Source organism: Homo sapiens, chromosome 13, assembly GCF_000001405.40.
Source record: "Homo sapiens chromosome 13, GRCh38.p14 Primary Assembly".
Classification (NCBI taxonomy): domain Eukaryota; kingdom Metazoa; phylum Chordata; class Mammalia; order Primates; family Hominidae; genus Homo; species Homo sapiens.
Window position 1 is genome coordinate 64,736,598 of NC_000013.11, and position 25,894 is coordinate 64,762,491.

The 25,894-nt window shown below is 35.1% G+C and overlaps 1 long non-coding RNA gene across 1 annotated transcript in view, besides 1 other annotated feature; it reads left to right on the forward strand.

Moving 5' to 3' along the window:
- The first annotated feature begins 1,417 nt into the window (after positions 1-1,417).
- LOC105370240 (uncharacterized) overlaps positions 1,418-25,894 on the forward strand; it is a 59,720-nt gene continuing 35,243 nt past the window's right edge. Inside the window, exon 1 of the long non-coding RNA XR_942030.1 lies at positions 1,418-1,533. This is a non-coding gene — a long non-coding RNA (uncharacterized LOC105370240). The remainder of the gene's footprint in view (positions 1,534-25,894) is intronic.
- Positions 21,980-22,274: a silencer, noted in NCBI's record as "tiled region #870; HepG2 Repressive non-DNase unmatched - State 24:Quies, and K562 Repressive non-DNase unmatched - State 24:Quies". NCBI's record gives its function as "represses a minimal TATA promoter and a strong SV40 promoter by Sharpr-MPRA in HepG2 and K562 cells {active_cell/tissue: HepG2 | K562}" and the evidence as "EXISTENCE:reporter gene assay evidence [ECO:0000049][PMID:27701403]".

A 25,894-nucleotide genomic window follows, 5' to 3' on the forward strand; every position in this document is an offset into this window, starting at 1 on the left:
TTCATTCCCTTAACACTATCTTTCACAGAGCAGAAGTGTTTACAATTTTAATGAAGTCCAGCTTGTCTGTTTTTTTATGGATCTTGCTTTTGTGTTATATCTAAACACTCATTATGAAACCTAAGGTTACATAGATTTTCTCACATTCTATCTTTAAGAAAGTTGAGAGATTTGCATTTACATTTAGGTTTATAATCTATTTTGAGTTAGTTTTTACAAAAGATGTAAGATCTGTGTTCTTTTTTTTTTTTTTTTTTTTTTTTTTGCATGTGAACATTTAATTTTTTCAGCACCAATTGTCAGATTTCCATTTCTCCTCTGGCAAAGACAAGTTGACTGTTCTAGTGTGGGTGTCATTTTGGGCTCATTTTTCTATTCCATTAGTCTTTTTGTGTATACTTTTGTTAAGACAACTCTGTGTTTATTACTATAGCTGAATAGTAAGTCTTGAAGTCTTACTGGTCAGTCATGTAGTATCACTTCTCTGACTTTGTTATTTTTCTCCAAAATTATGTTGGTAATTTAGAGTCCTTTGTTTCTTTGTATAAACTTTAAAATAGTTTGTTGATATACACAAAGTAAATTGCTGATATTTTTGTTGAGATTGAATTGCATGTATAGATGCAATTGGGGAGAAGGACATCCTAATATTTAGTCTTTAAATTCATGAGCATGATATATCTCCATTTATTTAGAGCTTTGATTTATTGTATTACAGTTGTGTAGATTTCCCCATATACATCCTGTAAATATTTTGTTAAATTTCTTCCTCCTCTTCTTCCATCTCCTTCCCTTTCACCTTCTTGTTCTCTTTCTTCTTTTTAGAGATAACAAAAACTGTGCTGTATCTTTTATTTCAGTTTCCAACTCCTCAAAAGCAATTGGCATTGTATATTACACATGTATCCTATGCCTTTATTATAATTACTTATTATGTCTAAAAATATTTTTTTCTGATTTCTTTGTAATTTTTAAACATATGTTAAAGTGAACTAATATTACCTGAGAAGGAATCTGTACTTCTATACTTCAGTCCTTGTGGACAAACCATAACCTAGCTTAATAGGTAGACAAGATTGAAAACCTAACTTAGGAGTATGTGCCCGTAACAATAACTGAGACTTGGTCAGTCCCAGCAGCCATACTTCAACCAGTCATATACTGCTGAATGTTCAAATTGTGTCCAGATAAGGTAAACTCTGAGCTGTAATCAATTCAGCTGTTTCTGGACCTCACTTTTTATTTTTGTATATCACTTCTTTTTTTGTCTATAAACTTGTGACCATAAGGCATCCCTTGAGTCTCCCTCTGGATCTTTTATGATTTTGGGGTCTACTCAATTCATTTATTGTTCATTGCTCAATTAAACTCCTTTAAATTTAATTCTGATGAAATTTTTCCTTCATTAGATGATGTCAGAAGTGGGATCCAAAGTAGAGGTTCTAACGACCCCCAAGAACACTGAGTGACCAAACAAGGTACCTGCTGGACTCACTTGTGTCTGCTGATCTTTCAGGGCAGCTGGGGATTGTGGTAAGTTTTCTCTAGGAGTCTGAAACTCCATGGATTTGTGCTTTGAGCTCTCTGAGTTTCTTTGAGCAAATTTCTTTTGGAAATTTGGGTTTGGAAGTTGTGACAGAAACTGGACTGGGTCCAGAATTGGATTAGATCTGGTAATTAACTGGGTTGGATCCAGTTAGAGGTCTCTTACATCTGACTGGGTCAGACAGAAATTGGCAGTAAATGGTAATATTGCAAGAATTGTAAAATTTGGCTTTTGGAAATTCTCAGGGATTTTTGTTTTCTACCCCTTTGTTTCATTTTTCTTGTATGCTTAGGTAAGAAAAAAAATCATTGGCAAGGGAAAGGAAACCCAAGAGCAAAGACACTACCTTAGATAAAAATGGGATCTTTAATTTCTGAAGAACTGAGTTCTTTCTGGCTTATACGTGCATAAATGTTAGGCCCCAGAAGCAGCAAAGTCTTACAGAAATGGCAAAATCTTACTAAAGATAACTTGCTGTGGAACATTCTGAATGAACAACAACACACTGATGTACATTTAAAAATGAGGGCTCCTAAATTAGTCTCATCTAGGGATGCCTATTAATGTGCAGAAGTTTCTAAAAAAATTTCAGTGGTTTTATTTAAGACTTTACAAAAGGCAAATAAAAAGCTTAAGGGACTAATTGATTAAAAAAAATCTGTCTCGTACTTTTTGCTGATGGGAATGGGTGATGGGATTAGGCATGCACAGGATCATGGGATACAGGAAACATTTTTCTTCTTGAAGGAGGAGCTGGAGAGCTGATGGGACTGCTTGAAAGTCCCTTCGTGACTGAAAAGTGGTCACCTGAATTTTTGATTCAATATCTCTGCAATGGATGAATCATTCTCTGGCCTCCCTGAGCTTCTTGCCTTCCCCACCCTACCTCAGGCAATACTACTCTCTCTCTCTCTGTGCAAACTGGTTGTGGGAATGATAAAAATCACTATCTCTTGCAAAGGTTTAATTAATGAGAAAAGGATTCATGAGGCTAGTCTTAAGCTGTACTGAATCTAGTGTATTTTGTGCTATGAATTTGTCTTTCTGTGTCATTCTGTCACAAAGAGGGGTACCTTAGGATAGAACATGGGCTTAGGACCCCATAAGCTTGCTGTTCAAGACAGCCCAGCAAGCTGGTCAGTTACAAACTTTGCTGCAGGTCCCCAACACAAACAAAAAACTGGATGAGGTCTCTATCTTGATTTTTGTCCTTGGGAGCTTGAACTTGTAACCATGTGGTGGTACTTTCTTTTGGTCTCCACCATCTTGGGAACAGGAGTTTTGGGGTTCATGTTATAGTTAGCTCTAAAAATTATCTTGAGTAGATAAAAGCCATTGCAAGTTCAAAATTGACTACTCTAGACTCGACTCCTTCTGGGAAAAGCAATGGAACCTGCCCAAATGCTGTAGCTCACCAGCTAAGGTTTTGTCATTTTATCATTTTAGATGCCATTTTATCATTATAAAGCCTGGTTCAATCTTATATTGAGTACTTCCTGGTTAATATCTTTGTGACTTTTTCCATTTGTTTCTTCTCTTCCCCTCCATGAACAACTTCTTGTTTCCTTTCTTAAATTTTCCCTACCTTGAGCTACCTTGAAAGACTCTAGATTTTGTAAAATCTGCTTACCACCTCTTTGAAAATACCTCATACACTCATAGTTAATTCATAACCTTAGTTGAGGCTTGTTGATTTCGCTTATTAGGTTACCTTTGGTGAAGTTTAAAAGCCCAAAATATTGGCTGTTTGGCCTCGCAAAAGTATCATAATAAAAAATTTAAAAGGACATTTTTTTTTTAGAGAGCATTATGGTTAAAAGTCAGCTTAATTAAAAGTGGATATCCAAGCTATAGGTATATTTAAAAGGCCTTCACGTTTTTTTCTCTTTTTGGACCTTGTTTTTCTGGGAAAAAGGTTTCTATTTCTTCTTGTTGACTGAATTATTTTTCTCCATTTTGTCTTGCCACTCTTAATGCACACATGAGTGGCCCTAAGATAACTTTTAATAGCCTGGAAGTCTTTGGGAAAAACAGAGAAGGCATCACAGACCAAGATTTGAGAAAAAATCTCTGTTTTGCTCATGAAACTCCAGGAATTGAAAGTTAATAAGTTCCTCTCAAAACCTAAGTCTCTGTTCTGTTTTGTATTGTGTTATCTGATGGTTTTTAGTTTGGGGGTGTCAGAAATTACTTCACACCATGAGAGAGCTTTGGTGTGTAATAACTAGGTAGGCAATAGACTGTTAGGGCTGGCTAATGGCAGTTATAAGGGAATACTTAGCTCTTTGCACCTTTGGATCAGGGAAGCATGCTCTTGGCCACCTAGAAAGCATGGAAATGTCCTCATGTCCCACTGAAGGATAAAAATTCCGTGAGGGATGGGCTAATTGCAAAATGGGCTAATTGGTTTAGGGTTGCCATGCAATAAAGTGCACGGTAAAGGTATTGCACTATCTTTTCCTGTAGCATTTTTCTCTTTTGGGGGTTCCAGGATGTGATATAAAAATAAGATCCTAAATTTTGGAGATCTGTTTTTGTCTTCCAGCTGTGCCTGCTTATTAGGCCCTAGAAACTGCATGTTTTCCTGGCCCTGTTACTTGAAGAACTCCACCCTAAAGCCAGTAATCCAATTAAGCAACTTTAAAACTGGCAAATGAAAGATCTTATAAATTCTGGTTATTCTTCTATCTGTCTGTGTAGTTATATGTATTGTGTGTGTGATGTTTATGTAAAAGAGCTCTAATTAATTGACTTTAAGAAAAATAAGTGCTTAAATCAAATATTTTAAAAGAAAAATGAAAACTAATGCCTTTTAGATAATGTGACTTTACAAATCTTTGGGAAGTAAAGACAGCTTTAAAGATTATTAATAAAATGAAGACATTTGGTCTAAATTAGGCAGGTCAGGTATTAGGTTTGCTCAATGCTTTAAGGTCATAAACTGCTTATTTGCTTTTGAAAATTGTTCCACTTGTCTGCTTTACAGCTAGGTAAGGCCTGGGGGCATGTGGAGTTAGCCACACCCCTACCTATGCTGGAAAGAGTCAAACCTTATCTGCACTTCTGTCTGGTGTCCTAAGCTCCACTCCTACTACATAATTAAAATAACTTACCAGGTTTTTCACCAAAATTAAAAATTTCTAAGAGTTGCCATTAAAACATGTAATTGAGACTACTATATGAGTGATTGAAGTATGGCTGCTGGGAATTGCCAAAACTCAGGTATTGTTACAGGTACATGCTCCTAAGTTAGGTTTTCAATCTTGTCTGCCTATTAAGTTAGGTTATAGTTCATCCACAAGGACTCAAATATAGAAGTACAGAGTCCTTCTCAGGCCATATTTAGTTTACTTTAAAAATTCCCTTCTTTTTGGCAGCCTCTCAGTTTAGACAGATTGACCAAAACTTTAGGCATTGATGCCACTCTCTGTCACCATCATAAAGACTTATTTGGTCTCAGGGTAGAATTTACAAGTCTCCTTTAGTTTCAGTATGGAGCTTCACAAGTCTTCTTTGGTGTCAACGTGGAATTCACAAGTCACAGCTCTATACCAGCTGAATGATTCTTTATGTTCTTGCTGACCCATTTCTTGATGATTTGTTATGTTCTTGAGGTCATTCCACTCTCAATGGATGACTGCATCTGAAACATTTAAGACTTGAGAGAATATACCACATGAGGGGGACTGTTGTTATGATTATCAATAAGATCACATCAAAATGCCATTGCATACTCCTTAATAAGAGTTCCTATGAAACAAACCAAACCAAATTAAATGAATTAAGGTTAAGACAATATAGGCAGTCTAACAGTATTAGGGTCTAAATGGACATAGTCCTCATTTGGAGTGTGATAACAATCAAGGACCATAGTGCACTGTAAAGTAGCCTGATTTTAAGAAGTACTCATTTTTATTGTTACCCTGGTAACACAAGTCATAATATCTTAGAAACCTTCTAGAATTAATATAAAGATTAGAAACCCTTGGAAAACCCAAGCTTGCCATTCACCATTTAGGATGCCTGCAAACCAACTGTTGGTTGCTCCTGTAAACACATCATGGGTTCCTTTCTCTAGGGAGATTTATTTAATGTATTTGGTGGCAGTGTCTAAGGAAACATCAATATCAGCCACCTTTTTTTTTTTTTGAGACAGAGTTTTGCTCTTGTCACCCAGGCTAGAGTGCAATGGTGCGATCTTGGCTCACTGCAACCTCTGCCTCCTGGGTTCTAGCGATTCTCTTGCCTCAGCCTCTCGAGTAATTGGGGTTACAGGTGCCTGCCACCTATCAAAATTCTAGCTGTCTTTTCCTGAAGAAATTGACAAGTCGATTTTAAAATTAATACGCATGAGTCCCAAAATAGCCAAACCAATTTATAAAAGAAAGAAAAAAGACAACTTATCTTTTCTGAATTCAAAACTACTAAAAAGCTACAAGACATTGTGACACTTCCATAATGATAGACACAGCTCAATAAAATAGAATGGAGAGATCATAAATAAACCCTGTGTTTATAAGCAAATGAATTTTCACATAGATACCAAGACCATTTGATGGGGAAAATAAATGGGATAATTGTATTTCCACATGGAAAAGAATGAAACTGTTGCCCTTCTTCAAACCACATAAATAATTTAAGCCAAAATGATGAAATATGTAACTGTTAGAAGTAAAATTATAAAATTATTAGAAGGAAATATAAGAGTAAATCTTTATAAATTGGATTTTTATAGAGACTTTATAGCTATAACATACACAAAACAATCACAAGCAACACAAAAATAGAATAAATTGAACTTCATCAAAATTAAACTTTCGTGCTTCAAAATATACCATCAAGATTGAAAAGACAACTCAGATAATCAAAGAATGTTTGCAAAATATACATCTGGTAATAGGCTTTAATCTATAAAATATAACCCTTTCATTCCTATAATAATAAGAAAAACTAATTAAAAATAGTCAGTGAATAATAATTTACATTTCTTTAAACAATGTATACAAATGGCCCATAAGCCCATGAAAGGATGTATTTGTCCCCCAGTTGCTGGAAATTTTATTTCATCTTTTAAATTGTTTTCTCTCTCCCTGTTTCCATTTTGGAAGTTTCTATTGACACATATTCTACCTCACTGTTTTTGTTTTGTTTTGTTTTGTTTTTCCTCTGCTGTGTCCATTCTACTGATAGAGCCATCAAAACCATTCTTCATTTCTGTTAAAATGTTTTGATTTTTAGCACTTCATTTTTACTTTTTGTTAGAGTTTCACACTGTTTACATTACTCGTCTGTTCTTGCATGCTGTTCACTTTTTCCAGAACATTTAGCATATTATATATATTTAAATTTCTTGTATGGTAATTCTAAAATCTTTATATTTGAGCCTGAATTTGGTACTTGCTTTGTCTCTTTAGACTGTAATTTTTTCTTTTAGCATACCTTCCAATTTTTTGTTCAAAGCGGGATATGATTTATCAAGTAAATAGAACTGAGGTAGACAGTCCTTTAGTGTGATATTTTATACTTATCTGGTGAGTAGTTAGGCTGTTTGCAGTAGCTGTGGTATTTTAGGCTAACATTTTCTCTAGTGTCTTTGTATTTGTCTTTGAGTTTTCCTGGAGATTCTTTAAGTAGGACCTGAGGTTTGCAGTTATTTTTAGCTGTTATACCCTTTTATTATAAAGGGGCAATATTGATGTGACGGTAAGATGTGTGTGTGTGGCAGAGGAGGGTTTTGTGTAGTTCTATAATTAGTCTTAATCTTTTAATGAGCTTGAGTTGACTGTTTACCTTTTTTCACCTCAAAGCCTGGAGAGCCCTGGCATTTGGGTATTTTCCTTTCCCCAGGTGTTAGGCTTGGGTAAAACTCCAGTGGGTTAGGCCTTGGTAGTTTTCCTTGAGGGTAGGCTTTGTTAAGGAAAAAAGAGAACTCTGGGCCTGAGTAACTCTAAGAATAGTTACTCTGCCCCTTCTCCCTGGTAGAAGCGCCAGGGAATTCCCTCTGTCCCCCATCTTCACAATAAGAGTCAGCTAGAGCTTATGCAGATAAAACCCAAATGTACAGGGGCTCACCTAAGACTGGGCTCCATCAGAATTGCTAACTCTCAAGCTAGTCTATACTGAGCATCCAGAAATTTGTCGATTACTATTAAAGATGTTCTTACCAGCATTGGCTGCAGCTTCAGGCTTTTGCTTCTGGGCTTTTAACTTCTGGGCTTCAGCTCCAAGTAAACCATGATTTTCTGTATCTATCTGCCTATACATCTTACCAGTTATTCTGGCAGGAGTTTGCCCTGTGATCTAAATTCTCTGATGCATTTAGGAAGAGTTGGTAATTTTTATTTTTTAAATATTTTTTCCTGTTGTGAGGAAGACAGGAGTGATGACTTCCAAGGTCTTTACATAACGGACTGGATGAAGCAAATTATATTTCAAAAATTGGCAATTGCTATGAATAAGAATGAATAGATTTTCAAAACTAATATTCTTGCTAAATTCGGCTTATAGATCTATAGGTTTTCTCTTTTAAAGCAATTAATTAGAATTATGTCATTATTTTATCAACAATCCCGCTTTGACGTTAATTTATTTTCACTAAACTTTTTAAATAAAATGATCTCCTCACCCCCACCTCAAAAAAAGCACAGAAGGAGATTTGGTATTTGAGACCTAAGAGTAACAAACCTAATTCCTTGCCACATATTCTTGCAAAAGTTATTGGGTTCAGGTTGCTCATTTTTTAAGAGAAATAAATCATTATTTGGGGTTTTATGAGGCTGGCAAGATTTCACTATAGTAGAAAAGGTATCCATTTTTTCCCTAATTAAATCTTTCTCCTAGAACTCTATTATAACATTTAAATTTAAAGGGTTGGCAAATATTTAGCAGAATTTGACATGTATGATGAAGACCATAAAAATTGGTTCCCAGGAATGAAATGGGAACATGGAAACGGTGTGGGGGCTTCCTGAGGAAGCAGGATAAAGACTGTTTTCACTTCACTGTGTATGCACAAAAAACTTAGAGGAAGAATGGCTAAACTGATTATCTTTTGGGGGTACTGACATCTGAGTACATTGATCATAATGCTTGTCAGAGGTTGACTCTAGAGATGGCAGTTCAAGTGTTTCAGAAAAAGAAATTATTCATACAGAGTATATAAAAATATTATCATGTGAGGTTTAGACTTTGGTAAAAGATGTTGATTAAATGAATAATATATTAATACATATGTGTATATATACATGCATGCATTGATAAATATATGTATTTTTAAAATAATTTTCTATTTCAACTAATTTGTATTCATTTTTGTCACACAAATTTCAAAATTAAAATAGAGAAATGGTAAAATACAAGGTAAAAATGAACTTCAGTCATCAAGGCCGTATTAGTAGGTCTCTGAAAGTATTTTAGTGATACAGTTCTTAACAGATTCTGCTGTTAGAGTGAAGAGTGACTGTTCTGCCTATGATTGTTCAGCTTGAGTCTAATTTTGCTTTGTTTCAGAGCCCTTTTTACATCTCAGCCTGACAGAAAATTTCTAATTTTTCCGCATATAAATATTTTGGAAAATATGTTACTTTCCTCACTCTTCATGTGTCAGTCACCTTACAATATTCAATAGAATACTTTATAAACCCACATTAAAATACTTGTATCTGAAGTATGTTACCACTATTTGAAGCTGCATGAAGGAACTGGGTAGTTTTTTGACCTAGAGGACTAACAAGATGTTCAAGAAACCTCTTGAAGTCAAATCTTACCAATTAGTAGAGACAAAGCAAACTGAGCATCCAAACTCAGAAATGGAGAAATACATTAAATGACAACAACTGGATGTGATTATTTTAGTTTTTTATTTTACAGCTATGGAAGTTAAATTGAATTATCAATATCTGGAAATCTTAGATAAATAAAACTGTAATATTCATTACAAAATTGTGGCAGAATTCTCACATTGGTTCAGAACCCCAGATTCATGAGAGGGGAGGTTACCATCTGTGGGTCATGCAGCTTCCAACGCAGTTTGTTTTTGGTGAAACCTAACAACATGCTACCAATTCAGCAAATTCGGCAAAGGATCCTAGATTATTACTTCAAAGCTCCATTCTACTTAGCATAATCCCTCAAAAAGAAGAAAATTAAGTTTATTTTCTCACATCAATTTTAAATATACAACAGAGAAATGATAGGATTCAAGTTTAATACTGATGGGGGTTTGGCTCTGTTTTTAAAAAAATGGGAACATTCTAACTGCATCAGAGACATAGGATGGCTACATTACTCTCCCTTATTTTCACAATGATTTATCCATTTAGCAAGTATATACTGAGTATTCTGTGCCAAGCACTCTTTAGGCAAAGCTATCTGAAATATACATAATATATATTATAACATATAAAATATATATTATTCATAGTCTAATGTTTGGGGCAGAAATAAATAGCTAAACAAATAAATGCATATATAATATCAGGTAGCTCTAAGTAACAAGAAGACAAATACATTTGTGTATTGGATGAAAAAGGAATAAAAGTTACTATATTAGTTTTAGTGGTCATGATATGTTTCTTTGAACAGTTCATATCGTACAGAAATCTGAATAAAGTTATAGAGAGTCTCATACAAAATATCTTCTTGAAGAAGGTTCCAGTTAGAATAAACAGGCACTGTGAATGTGTTCAAATTCTTGCTTGGCATTTTGGAGAAATATAAAGAAGGTCCATGTAGTTGGACACAGTTCTGAATATTTTACTTAAAAGTTGCCAGGTGCTTTGAAACAAGTTATGATATGGCTTTCACTGGTGGTTCCCAAACTTGAATGCAAATTGTATTCACCTGGAGATCTTTAGAACACTATTGTCTGGATTCTACCCCTGAACATTGTCATTTAATTAGTAGAGTGTGCTACCTCGGCACCTGCTTCCCAAGTGATTCTAATGAGCAGCAAAGTCTGGGAATTTAACTGTGCTCTAAATTACATTTGAATCCCTGGGCAGCATAAATATCAAATTATTTAACAAAACAGAACATCGTCTTCACAATCTTGTCTGTTTCTATCCAATCTTATTTTCCACTAGATCTTTTGCTGTATTTTTCAGCAGGTTTCCCAAGTCCTTTTTTTTTTTTCTTTTAATTCAGTGCTTCTGCTCATGCTGGGCCATATGCCTTGAATTTCTTTTCTGTTTATGTATTCTCTCTATCTTTGAATAGCTCCCAATTTAAGGCTAAATTACAATTTTTTTTGAGAAGTCTTCTACCTCTACTAAGCTAACATGCCCATTATCCAAGTTTTGAATATACGATTCCTGTTTATTCTTGTTGCTGCAGCATAATTATTAATAATGACTCTCATTTTACCCATAAAAGAGTCCTAGTTTACACCAAAATTTATATGATGACCCTCTAGTCTGTACTCCCACAGTTCACATGATGTTTTTCATTTGTTGTAATATATCATAATTTTTAAGTAAGTTGGGTACATTGTTGTGAACTCTGTAAGAGGCAGACCACACAACATTCTCTTTTGTAACCCCCACAACAAGCACATTGCCCATAACACGGTAAATATTCACATAGAAGGTTGAACGGCTTTAATGGAAGTACAGAAGTTAATGCATGTGACAAATGATGCAATATTTGCATGAAATAGCACAAGTGTTGGTATTTTTAATTTTAAAATTATTTTAATTCTTCCTCTTAAGGCCAGTTTTTCATCAGCTGTATAGAATATTATGAATTACATTTACACAAATTCAGTCAAGGTCACTTCTGTTACACAGCGACAATGATTTTACCAATATAGTCTGAAACAAATAGAGGTCAGTGTACATTTTCTCATAGCCTTGCTCTCAGCTTTCTTCCATGAACTGCAGAAGGTTTCAATTTACTGAAGCACCGAGGTAGGTAAGATCCAATCAAAAGCAAAATCAATAAATGCTAACCTCGAAGGGCTAAATAGTAGTGACATCAGTCACAAAGAAAAGTTGTTTGCAGGCTTGAAATACTATTGTTCTGTAAAGGTAAGAGAATAAAACTGCAATTATGGACACTTGTAAGTTTTGTTTATCCTAAAATATTTAACCTGCAGACAAAGAGATAACAATGTCATGTATTGTATAGGTAGAATAGTGCTAAACAATGAGAGATAATTTGATCTTCTCATCATAACTGAAAATATTTTCTCATCGCAACATATTTCTATAATATATTCAAAAAGAATCACAAAAATGTTTTTAAATGTTTGTGATAACATTTATATAAATGATTATTTCTCATAATATTAATGCTTTTAAGGCCTATGTGTGAAGATTTTATGAATTTTACATTTTGAACAAAATGTAAAAAACATAAAGAGTGAAACTATGGCTCAAAAATTTATAAAAAGGTCATTAAAAGCATATGTCCCAATTCTGCCCCTTAATGCTGCATGAACTTGATCAAGTGATCTTCACTAACTCTATTCTCATATTTGTAACACAGTACCACTTGTCTAGAGCATAGTAGGTGTTCATTAAGTAAATATTTAATAAATTATGGTGTGCAATAGTAAATAAGGAATTGAAGCTATATAGTTATGATTGCTTGTTTGGAGAGGAATCCTTGATTTTCCATCAATGATTTTGTAGTAATAAAGAAGTCAAATTTTTTGACTGCCAGTTATAACTTGTGACACAGTTTATTTTAAAATTTTAACTGAATTTTAATATTGTCATTCATTGTCCCTTCAATGATTCATGAATCATTTGATTGAACATTAGGCAATCGCTTAATTTGACCATTTTAGACCCACAAAACTATTAGTTTCATATTTGACCTAACAGTTGCAATCCTCACACACTTCAAATTTTTACAAAGATTATCATTTTGTATTTTTTCAATCTCTGTAAAGAAAATCAAGGTAAGAATTGCACATGAACCCTTTGGTCAATATGATTACATGGAAAGCTAGAATCCTGGACTCATGAAAATGTCTTTAAATGTTCTTCGTACTGTTTCTACCACACGGTTTGTTGTTCTATATTCAGTACAGGAATCATTATTCTCTCATTTACATTTAGTTTATTTTTTCAGTACTTCTACCTTGTCATTCAGTTACCCAGTCTTTAAAATAATTCCATAGTACAGCATAGATGTAACACTAGGAGGAAGGTTGAGTTCAGCAAATTACGGTCAAGCATACTGATATTGGGCAGTCTGTGTCTTTTCCAGAAAAGATTATGATTCACCCAGGAAAGAGATGGATGTTAAGACAAGGAACTGAAATGAGGAAGATAAGTATCACATACCTCTGTGTAGGGGTAGACAGGTATAAGGACATCCTAGATAACAAAAGACTCTGCCACACTGAGCAGGTTAGGGCCCATGTGGATGTTGTACTCTCTCACGTTTACACTCTTGTTATCACCTCAGGCCTAATAAAATTCTGATTTAACGTCTTGCCTGAGCTCATCTCTTCTAGGTGGAACGGATAATGGGGTCAAGCAGTTAAGTGTATTAAAGGGAAAGCAGGGCTCCTTGAAAACTATGTATTACCATAATAACTGATTGGAAATCCCCAGGGTAAGATAAACAGACAGGAAACCAGAATGTGACCTAATGAGGTTTAGCGGCACTTTTTCAACAGAATATTGTCCCTTCTGTAACAATTAAAGTTATTTAACATTGATTTTATGAAAGTTTTTGTAAAAAGTGAGCTTTCTTTTCAAATTCTGAAGAAATAATTTGTGGGAAAAACAAATTTACTTTTTCTATCACAGAAGAGGCAAAACAATTATTTTTATTATTGCCTCTACAATGATATTCCATTAAATTAATCAGGTTTTTAAATCTGTAAAATAATACAGTTGTATAGCCAATACATTTGGGCTTTTGCAATTGATTTATAGGTAAGATGAATACAAATCTTACTGCAAGGCACATAGTGAAAACCCGATAATTGATGCCAGAAAGTGCCCCTGTTTTGGGGAGGGTGACACGTGGTAGATCTCTGTAGCTGCAGCTAGCACTATAGGGATGATATTTTGTTGTTTGTTTGTCTGTTTGCTTTTGGGTTGGTTTGTTGGTTGGTTTTGCTTATCTGAAACCAAGAATTTGTTAAAACTAGAAGGGCAAACTGATCCAGGAATAGAGGAATACATCAAAGCCCAATATATCAGTTTGGAAGTTCAGGGTTTTTTTAAATGATAAAGTTAGAAGCAAATATAAACACAAAACTATGCAGTGGCAATCCAAGGAAGAAACAAGAGCAGAAGAAAGCCACAGGGCAGGAACTTCATCTGTCTTAAATTGGCTCTAGTTCCTCCTGGCGGACCCCTGTACTTTTTTGAAATGAAAGAAAAAAAAATATAAATTACTTTTCTTTAAAAAAGGTAACTGACTGAATTAAACAATAAACAAATACGTTAAAAGTAAATGAGAATGATTTCTGCAGCTCATTTTAGGCTGTAAATTATTTAGCATATGATTCTTTATTTTCAATTGCATAATTAGCCTTGAAATTTTTGAGTATGTTTATATTTTCTTTTTAAAACTAGTGCCCAGGATAACAACCATATCCTTTGCTTGACATCACATTTTTGTTAATTAACCCTACTCACGCTCATACTGTTTTTCTTCTGGAAATCTATGCTTACAAGACAGGTGTATTAGTCAGGGTTTTCTGGAGGGAAAGAACTAAAAGGAGATATATATACATATAAAAAATATATAATATATAATATATTATATATAATATATTATATATGTATATTCCCCTAAATATATATAGAGAGAGGAGTTTATTACATATATATATATATATATATATATATATATATATATATATATATATATATGAGTTTATTAAGTATTAACTCACAGGATCACAAGGTCCCACAATAGGCTGTCTGCAAGCTGAGGAGGAAGGAGAGCCAGTCCGAGTCCTAAAATTGAAGAACTTGGAGTCTGATGTTCGAGGGCAGGAAGCATCCAGCACAGGAGAAAGAGGTAGGCTGGGAGGCTTTGTCAGTCTTTTCTCTTCACGGTTTTCTGCCTGCTTTATATTCTCTGGCAGCTGATTAGATGGTGCCCACCAGATTAAGGGTGGGTCTGCCTTCCCCAGCCCACTGACTCAAATGTTAATCTCTTTTGGCAATACCCTCACAGACACAGCACCCAGAATCAATACTTTGTATCCTTCAATCCAATCAAGTTGACACTCAGTATTAACCATCACATCAGGTGAGGTTTTACAGAAGCTTTTCTTAATGGAACGCTAAACTGGCACAAAGCAGGCTGCTTTGCTTTTATATAATTTAAAATTTACTACTCACTGTAGCCTTTAGGACTCCTTTGTGGTAGTGATCTCTGTGGAAATCACACCTCATTGTGCAAATCCACAAGGTCATAGGAGAAAATAATTCTCAAGCTCTTTTCGAATGCAATTAACTTCTTTTCTGGTTCAAACTCCTTGAGTTATAGCAATACATCTACCCATGAAAGCCAAAAATGTATTCCCATTTGTTTGAGTGACCCAAGTACATAACAGCTGTATAGATCACTGGTTATTATGGGTTGTGTGTCATGTAAAGAAGACCTTCAGCTTTACTGTAATAAGTCTTGGTTCACTTGGTTTTCAAGTGTCCTGTCAATTTTGGTTAAATATTGATAACTTTGCACAGCAGAATGCAGAATGTTCATTTTGTGGGTAGATAGCAGACAACTAACAGGTAGAGTGAAGCTTTTTATATTCTGTGAAAGTGCAGAAGTCATATATCATATTGACATAACAAAATCCCATTATACAGAACCTCGTACAAAGAGTACAAATAATGACAGTATCCTACATGTAAAGTCATAAGGTTAAATAAGACATTTTGACCTTTAATAAAAACATGAAGAAAATTGTCCTAAAATAAATTTATTAACATACCTCTAACAGCTGAAAGATATTCAGCATACTTCAGGAAACATGATTTACTTTTCTCAGGGAAATTCTTGAAAATCAGAAAGACTACATGCATTATTAACTATTACTACCTAATAGAACCCTCAGATAGAGTTTTTAAAATTTTTCAATTAAAAAATATCAGTGATACAAATGTATATTCATAAGGTATTTGTATATCTTCAAGCTGCAACTATTTTATACTTTAGTAAATTATTGTGTACCTTAACTCTATAAAAATATACATTATTTTCTTTAAGATTTAACATCTTAGATCTTTAAGTAGACAGTTGATTAGCATGATTAAAAGTTAAATCAGGCAATTTTTGAAATAAAAATACATTTTCTATAACAAAAATATTGCTTGAAACATAGTGAAGATGTTTAATGTAAAAGTAATTTTGTTGTCTCTCATTTCATTTTTGTTTCAAAAATATGGAGCAAAAGTATTTTTATAACATATCCTGTGCTAAGTACACAACTACTAGCTCACAATAGCAGTGAACAGGTCAGACCTTAGCTTCATACAAATATTTCAAGTTACAGGACAACACATAAAACACATAATTATTGGCTGGGCACGGTGGCTCATGCCTGTAATCCCAGCACTGTTGGAGTCCAACGAGGGCAGAACACAAGGTCAGGAGTTCGAGACCAGCCTGGCCAACATGGTGAAACCCCATTTCTACTAAAAATACAAAAAAAAAAAAAAATTAGCCGGGCGTGGTGCTGGATGCCTATAATCCCAGCTACTCAGGAGGCTAAAGCAGGAGAATCGTTTGAACCAGGGAGGCGGAGGTTGCAGTGGGCCGAGATCATGCCATTGCCATTGCACTCCAGCCTGGGTGACAGGACGAGACTCCGTCTCAAAACAAACAAACAAAAAACCCTTAATTAGGTAATGGAGATTTTAATAAGCAGTGCATCGGTTCTCTTTTACATACAACGTTATATCCTCTAGGCCCTGTCCCATTGCAGCCACTGAGTAGTATCTAGTCCCTCACAAGCTCTGAACAGCAGCTGTGTCTTCACAACCTGATTATCTTGCCGGCACAACTTTCTTGTCTTCTTGTCAGTTCAGCTATGCAAACATGCTTGTCCCTCATATATACAGAGCTAAGAAGTGAAGGGGATTTAAGGCACAGTGAGCAACAGTGGGTGACTCTTGCCCGATGGGAAACAGAAGCTGATGTATAAATATTTTTATTTTCTCCATTCCCCAGCCTGCTCCATGCCAGTTCTCTGGGATAACATTTGCAAATAGACTATTCATACATAAATTTTTATCATAGCCACTGTTCAGGAGAAAAACCCAGGCTAAGATAATGAGTACCATAAATACATTTAAATAGTAAACACTTGGGATGGGACTATGGAGCTGTATTATTCAACAGTCAAAAAGCAATAATAATCCTTTGCAGAAGCAATAACTCTGGCATGCAGCAATATGGCATAATTATGCACACTGTCACTTGTGCCTCATTGGGAAGGGTGCAGGTGAAAGCTGAAGTGTTGGCTTTTGCAAAGGTTGTGGTACTTCATCAATATGAGGGAAAGACTAATTATAAATATGGGGAAAAGTGGTATGGCTTTTTAAAACTAATTTGAAAGCCTTTACAAAATAACCATGTGGTGCCCTGATATTATGAAATGCATCATCATTCAGAAACAGTCAGCCTGATGTAATAGTGAAATTACTTGTTGAAGACTCAGCTAAAAGCCAGATGTAGAACAATTCTTTGGAGAGCTGTTTTTCAGGATGGAAAATATTTATTGAATCAATAGCCAGTGTTTGAAAGTATGACTGCAGCATGGTGCTGAAGAAGCAAAAACATGAGAGGAGGGTATGAGTTAGTCAGGAGAGAGATGATTCAGGGTCCTATGATAAGGGAGATATACACATATATAAAATGTATACACGGATAAAAATAGACAAAGATATATAAATATACATGTCTATATATTTATCTGTATATAATTTAGAAAAAATTAATGCTTATGCTTCAGAGATATATGCTCAGAGATTGGAGGAAATTAGATTAAAAAAAAAACTTGGAGAGTAAGGAAGTTATAAAACCAGTGATCCAGACTATTTCTAAAATTGATTTTCTAAGAGAAGGAATAAATTGACTTTATGAAAGTTAATTGATGGTCTCAATGAGAGTAGTTTTGATGCTATGGAAAGAAGCCTGAACAAATAGAATAATATAAACATTTTTTCATTCAATAAATATTTATTGACCAACTGCCATGTGCCAGGCACTGTTCTAAGTACCTGGGAAACATCAGTGAAGAAAACTAATGAAGAGCCTTTATCACCTCATGAAAACAAATGAGAAAAAAAAATAACATATTAAATTAGTCACTGAGTATATTAGAAGGTGACAAAAACAAAAGAAAAAGTAAAATTAAAAGTGGAGCTGGGAAAGTAGGACCAGGAGTGTAAGGGGAAGAGTTGGCAGACTGCTATTTTAAAGAGGTTAGTTAGTAAGACAGGAATCATTAAGGAGGCATTTGAGGAGAAAATCAAAGAAGGAGGCTCATTGATGGAGGACAGAAAGTCAGTCACATGTGTGTAATTGGAGAAAAAAAGTTCCAGCCAGAGAAAAGAGCCAGTGCAAAAGATTCACAGTGAAAGACCGTGTGGCTGATTGAAACCTATAACAGAAGACTAGAAATAGATAAAGACAATCAATAAATAGGAATGCCGAATCATTTAGAACCTTGCAGGCCATTGTCAGCAATTTGGCTTTTACCTTGAGAAAGATGGATTTAGTGGAATAGCATCATTTGATTTGTGTTTTAAAAATGATTGCTCTAGCTGTTCTGTAGTGAAATGATGCTGGAGGTATAAGGGTAGAAGCTAGAAAACTAGTATACGTTTCACAGTCTAGCCCACTGCCTATTTTTGTAAGGCATTCAATGAAAACATTTTTTTTCAGGTAAAATTGACAATCAGCTTGATGATAAGAAATACAGGAATAGATTCCAGTTCTGTCGTTATTAGGCATATGTTATTTAAAGAATTGTGTTCAATTAGTATTATTACATTTGAATTTTGTCAATAAAAATGTTTTCTCTCTTGTTCTATACGTACCTACATCATATCCTGGTTTTTGCCTCTTGTCCCTCAATGTGAAAAATTTTTACTAACTATACTAATACAATGTTAGAAAATGTATTATTAAATATATTAGTAAATTAGTAAATGTATTAGTAAAATATTTAATAAAAATGTGTAAAATATCTGACCCTTTAGAGAAAACATTTCCAATCCCCTGAGTTAGAAAACTACTTAATCCAGACAAAAGAAATTGTGTTTCACATCTGAGTCTTTACAATAGAACTGACAAAAAAATGGCAGAGTTCTAGATGTATTTTGGTAAAGAAAATAGAATTAGCTGATGGATTAGATACAGAATATGAGACAAAGAAAGAGGACCAAAATGCAATCAACATTTTTGACCTGAGCAATTGGAGAGAGTAGTTGTCATCTCTAAAATACGGAAAGCAGTAGTGGGGCAGGTTTGAAAGCTAAAATCAGTAATTCATTTTTGAGATGTTGAGATTAAGTTGCATGTTAAATATGCAAGTAAAAATTACACATATGCAAGTCTGGTGTTGACAAGAGTGGTAGAGGAAGGTGAGGAAGTGGAAGCACTGAATGTCGATGCCTCTTTGAAGAGGAGACTTGATATATAGTATCAAGTAGTAGATATATATGAATCAAGCAGTAGATATATATGAATGAAAGTATAACCACTCGACAGGTTCTTACCCACTGCCTAGACTGAGCTGGTTTATCAAGACAGGCAAATTGCAATGGAGAAAGAGTGTAATGTATGCAAAGCCAACTGTACAGGAGGGTGGAGTTTTATTATTACTCAAATCAGTCTTCCCGAAAACGTGGGGATCACGTAGGGGATCAGAAAGTGGGGAGTGCTGATTAGTCTGGTTGGAGATGAAACCATAGGGAGTTGATACTATCCTCTTGCACTGAGTCAGTTCCTGGGTGGGAGCCACAAGACCAGATAAGCCAGTTTATCTATCTGGGTTCTGCCAGCTGATCCATCAAGTGGAAGGTCTAAAAAATATCTCAAGCATTAATCTTAGCTTTTACAATAGTGATGTTATCCTTAGGACTGGGAGGTTTGGAATCTTGCAGCCTTCAGCTGCATGACTCTTAAACCATAATTTCTAATCTTGCAGCTAATTTGTTAGTCCTGTAAAGGCAGTCTAGTCCCCAGCCAGGAAGGGGTCTTATTTCAGTGAAGTGCTGTTATTGTCTTTGTTTCAAAGTTAAACTATATTTGGTTTTCTGTTTTTGCGTTAGTTTGCCAAGGATAATAGCCTCCAGCTCCAACCACGTTCCCACAAAAGACATGATCTCATTTGTTTTTTGGCTGCATAGTATTTCATGGTGTATATGTATATGTATATGTATATGTAGTATTTCATAGTATTTCATGGTATATGTAGCATATTTTCTTTATCCAATCTGTCATTGTTGGGCATTTAGGTTGATTCCATGACTTTGCTATTGTGAATAGTGCTGCAATGAACATTTGTATGCATGTGCCTTTATCATATAATGATTCATATTCCTTTGGGTACATACCCAGTAATGGGATTGCTGGGTTGAATGGTAGTTCTGCTTTTGGTCTTTGAGGAATTACTATACTGCCTTCCACAATGGTTGAACTAATTTACACTCTCATCAACAATGTACAGGTGTTCCCTTTTCTCCACAATGTCGTCAGCCTCTGTAAATTTTTGACTTTTTAGTAATAGCTATTCCAACTGACATCATTGTGGTTTTGATTTGCATTTCTCTAGCAATCAGTGATATTGAGGTTTTTTTTCTTTTTTTTCCACATGCTTGTTGGCCTCATGTACATCCATGTTTTAATAGAGTTGTTTGTTTTTCCCTTGTAAATGTGTTCAAGTTCCTTATAGATGCTGGATATTAGACCTTTGTCAGATGCATAGTTTACAAATATTTCTTCCATTCTTTATGTTATCTGTTAACGCATGTTCTCATTTATAAGGGTGAGCTTAATGATAAGAACTTATGAATATAAAGAAAGAAACAATAGACACTGGAGTCTTCTTGAGAATGGAGGTTAGGAGGAGCAGAAAAGATAACTATTGGGTACTGGGCTTAATACATGGGTGATGAAATATTCTGTAACACAAACCCCAGTGACACGAGTTTACCTACCTACCTAACCTTCACATATACTCCAGAACCTAAAATAAAAGCTAAAAAATAAAGTAAAATAAAATTAAACTATAAACTAACTTCCTCCCAAAATTAGTTTGGCCTGTGCTCAGGAATGAACAAGGACAGACTGGAGGTTAGAAGCAAGATGGGGTCAGTTAGGTCAGATTTCTGACACTGTAATAATTTTCTCACTTATAATGTTTGCAAAGCCTCTTTCAAAAGGTCCAAAGATTTTATTTGGTATTATATTTCATCTTATTTTCAACATGAAGGATATTAAATTATGTGAATTGCTGATAGTAATAGGATGGTGCCAAAGATTTGGGGAGATTCAAGTTAGAGAAGACAGCAGGGAAAAATCATCAAGGTTTTGATTGATAGGCTCAATAAGCATGACTCCAGGGCAATATTGTAAACAAAACTTTATTTTAGCCTCCCATTTGTATTTATTCAGGTAATTTTTCTCTGCTCTTAGATGAAAATTTAGACAGGTTTTGTTACCAGAAAGGGATACCAATCCAGACCCCAAGAGAGGGTTCTTGGATCTCAGGCAAGGAAGAATTCAGGGCGAGTCCATAGAGTAAAGTGAAAGGAAGTTTATTAGAAAAGTAAAGGAGTAAAGAATGGCTACTTCATAAGCACGAGTAGCCCTGAGGGCTGCTGGTTGGCTATTTTTATGGTTATTTCTTGATTATATGCTAAACAAGGGGTGGATTATCCATGAGTTTTCCGGAAAAGGGGTGGGCAATTCCCAGGACTGAGGGTTTCACCCCTTTTCAGACCATACAGAATAATTTACTGACATTGCCATGACATTTGCAAACTGTCATGGTGCTGGTGGGAGTGTCTTTTGCTAATGCCTTATAATTAGTTTATAAGGACGACCAGAGGTCACTTTCATAGCCCTCTTGGTTTTGGTGGTTTGGGGCCAGCTTCTATACCACATGCTGTTTTATCAGCAAGGTCTTTGTGACCATACCTCGTGCCATCCTTCCATCTCTTCACACTTAGAATGCCTAAACTCCTGGAAATGCAACCCAGTACGTCTCAGCCTTATTTTACCAAGCTCCTATTCAAGATGGAGTTGCTCTGTTTCAAATGCCTCTGACAGTTTTATTACTTCTGGTCATTCTTACAAAATGGAAATTCCTAAGATCTTTTAAAATTTCAAACACAGTCTGAACTCAGTAATTATAGATTCTAATTGCAGTAAATAATCAAAATTGTGAAGTTAACTTAATGTCAAATATTTCCTCTCCATCACCTGGAATTCTTGGAAGTTTAGTGTGGGAAAGAGAGCCAAGTGAGGGCTGGAAATTCTTAAATATTCATAGGATGGAACCTTTTTCTCTGGGCATAGTCATGCTAATAGCTTATTTTCTCTTGTGTAATCCCCAGCCCAAATTCCTGGCAGTGCATCTCATTTGCAAGCAGCTTCCCATTCATTTCTTGGTTTTCTCTCCACATTGACTCCACACTTGGAGTTCTATTGCTTTTTCCATGTGTTGCTTTTGTGCTGAACTTAAATTGGCCTCAAAAAGGGATATTGTATTATGAGGTCTACATTTGATTCAGAGAAAACATGCTCAAAAATGTGGGGCTCCATTCAAAAAGAAGTACTCCTGTGTTCCAGACATAACAGTGACCCATCTTTGCCATGCTGCCCAAGCAGCTCATCTCCATGTGTTACCCCTAGCCTTCAGACTTCCTGGGATGGGTCAAAACTATGTTCTTGGCTCTGCCAAGTTCTATGAGAAATGATTCAAACTCTTTTTTTCTTCCTATCAATGTCTTCTCTTTGTCCCTTGGTGGTGGAATGCAGGGTGGGGTAATAGCAGCTCTCTCTCAAAAAATTGCTTTACAATTCTCTTCCTGGAGCTCCACCTTTTTTATACTTTATATTACTGAATTAGGTGAAGAGTTCAAGGGTTTTGAAACACGTTCTACATATACTTTTCAATTTCTACGTTCAGTCTATGATATTTTATCAGAATGTCATATGTATTGAGTACAGATGATGCAAATAGAATCTTTTCATTGAGTATTCTGTTACTTGTAGATTTACTGAGAAGATGGGAAAACTAGAAGTATAATGGAAAATAATCTAGCATATTGATATGGCAGACAGTCAGCATGGTTTTCATCAGAAATAATTTACAATGTTTCCAAAGCATGAAATGAGTCTTGCTTTAACAGTATTCTGAGAGGAGTTTATAAAAACAATTCTTAAACATATGTTGTAAGTTTTAGATAATATAACATTAAAAATCACATGATTTATTAAACATATATTGTTTGCAATTCAGTTTGGTGACTTGAACTTGCAAATCGCAACATGTAGCACCAAGACACAGCAGACCCTTCATTTTTTATCTGAATCCCATGGACACTCTTTTTTATTTACCTCACATCAAGAAAATAAGTCAATCAGGATAACTTTGGGAGAACGTTATTATGATTTTATGATTTGAGTTTCAGAAAACAGTTTGGACTAAAATAGAAGATATCAGAGACTTTTAGGGAGCCAGCTTTCTGTCGCCTGAAACACTTTAAAATAATGTAATTTATCATTTTCTGTTGATATTTGAATGGATTATCTTCAAAATGAATAAAATCCATACAGCATATAAAGGTGTTGAGGTTTGTTGGAGGAGGAACTGCTTTCAATGTTATAAGAATGAAGGAGAAAAAATAGATGCAAACATTGATTTTTGGTACGTTTACAGGTTTTGTGTCTGGTGGATTAGAGAATGCCTGAGTTGAATTTTGAAGCCAGATGGAAAAGTTGTTGTATGATTCCAAGCATGAACTGTAAATAATACCACATAAGAGAGTTGTGAGAAATGGGGATGAAACAGTAGTCAGGCGCTAGATAATAAAGGATTATGTGTGGCATACTAAGGAGTTTGTTAATTCTACAGGCAACAGAGGGTCATTAAACAATTTCATCAAGGTAAAATCTCATGCTGGTGCTATTTATGTAAAAGATTTATGGTGGATGAAGAATGAGAAGCAAGGATCCAACTAAGGATGCTATTACAGAAGTTTAGTTTAAAGATAATAAGAGGCTATACTGCCTCATAGTGTAAAAAAGAGAAGGAAAGAGAAACATTAATGAGGTCCAATTGGCTGGACTTGAAGAATAATAAGATGTGGAAAATGAGAAAGAGCCCAAAGTCAAGAATAAGATTCAAACTTTGACAGCAGCTCTATGTTTTGGTATCAACCAATATAAAATTTAAAGAGAAGAAATGCAGTTTAGAAATGAGGGGGAGGCAAAAATAATGATGAAGAAATAATTTGGTTTTGTAAATATTGATTTTGAGATGCCTACTGGATATCTAAATAGAGATATAAGGTAAAAAATTGTGTATCAAATTTTGAAGCTCAGGTGGAGGTGTAGGCAAGATAAATTGATTTGATGCTCATCAAGATAAGCATGTGTTGAAGTTTCAAGAAAAGATGAGATTATCCAGATATAACTAGCTTTGTGATGCTTTTTTCTATAGAAGTCTTATTATTTTTGCAAGCCATGGAAGATGAAAAAAATATTTCTTTGATCTTTAATCTGTATATTTTATTGAATTTTCCTTTTGAATTAAAATAAATGCATGCTTTTTACAATAAGCCAAGCAACTTTCTAAAATGTCATATGGTTTTGATTACAAATAACTTCATTAATATTATCTTCTGAATCTTTGTATGTTTTCTCATTCTCATAGTTCTGTAGTATTATTTTATGAGTCCCTTTTTTAAATTCTTTTTCCTGCCTGTTCATTCAGGGATAAAATATACAAAGCAATATTTTATAAAGTGCATGAATTGCCTTTAGGAATGCTTGCTATCTACATGAATATAAGTATGTAACTCCTTAGTTGATGTTAAGTTGGGGAACATTTGAGGCTGGGGTCCCTGGAAGAAATTTTCTGAATTAAATATTTATACATAGCAAATTTAGGGTTGTGCATTTGGGAAAAATTGTAAGTGAGGGAGGCAGGACTTGGCAGAGATTGAAGTTAAAATGTACTGCAAAGGCTTCAGCGGATCCCAAAGGCTGAGCTGTCCAAAACAAAGACAAGAGGTCTGGGCCTCTGTATCCTAGTATCAATCATGCTTTAAATGCAGGTGACCTTCGAACAAGAAAATTCCAGGAGAAAGACTGAGCTGTGAGTTGTCAGCAGCCAATACTAGCTGTGTGAATGAGGGCTTTATCATAAAGCAGGAAGCATCATGGTTCCCACTACAGTACCCACTTTGTCTCATTTTGATTCACATGTTTCTAGTAGCAAGCTCACCCTCACCTGGTTCAGATTCTCTAAGATTCCATTTTGTCTCATATCCTGGGGAAATGAATAATGTGCATATTAGTGGGATGATTTACATCTTCTCTCTCTCCACTGCATTGTTCTCAAGGATAACTATTGTTTCAACCTTCTTCTCACACTGGATGGCATCTTTGTTGATTTAGATGGCTTACCTGGGAGGTGAAGTTCTCTTTTGTCTATTAATAATGACCTCTTTAGTCTGTGGCTGATACACTTATCCATTTAAGATTAAAAATTTAATACAATAGGAACCATGAGATGTCTCAATGAATTAAAGAAAAGGCCAAACTTATTCTTTCTTGCAGGCATTTTCTTTTCTTTTGTTTTCGTTTTTGAGACCAAGTCTCACTTTGTTGCCAGGCTGGAGTGCAGTGGTGCAACCTGGATTCACTGTAACCTCTGCCTCCTGGGTTCAAGCAATTCTCCTGCCTCAGTCTCTCAAGTAGCTGGGACTGCAGGTGCACACCACCACACCCGGCTGAGTTGTTTTTTTGTATTTTAATAGAGTTGGGATTTCACCATGTTGGCCAGTATGGTCTTGATCTCCTGACCTCGTGATCCGCCCGCCTCAGCCTCCCAAAGTGCTAGGATTACAGACATGAGCCACGGGGCCTGGCCTCTTGCAGGCATTTTCTAATAATAACCCTGCCACTCACTGATGATTAGGCTGATTATCTTGTCAGTATGTTGATGCTTTTACTTGCAGGTCTCTGGTTACATGGTACTAGAAATGGCCATATGGCAACTGCCCAAGACCATGGGAACCCACCTCTTACATCAAGCATGGCCAAGATGAGAGACATGAAGTCAAAGGAGATCATTTTGGAGTTTTAATATTTGACTGTCCCACTAGTTTTTGGACTTGCATG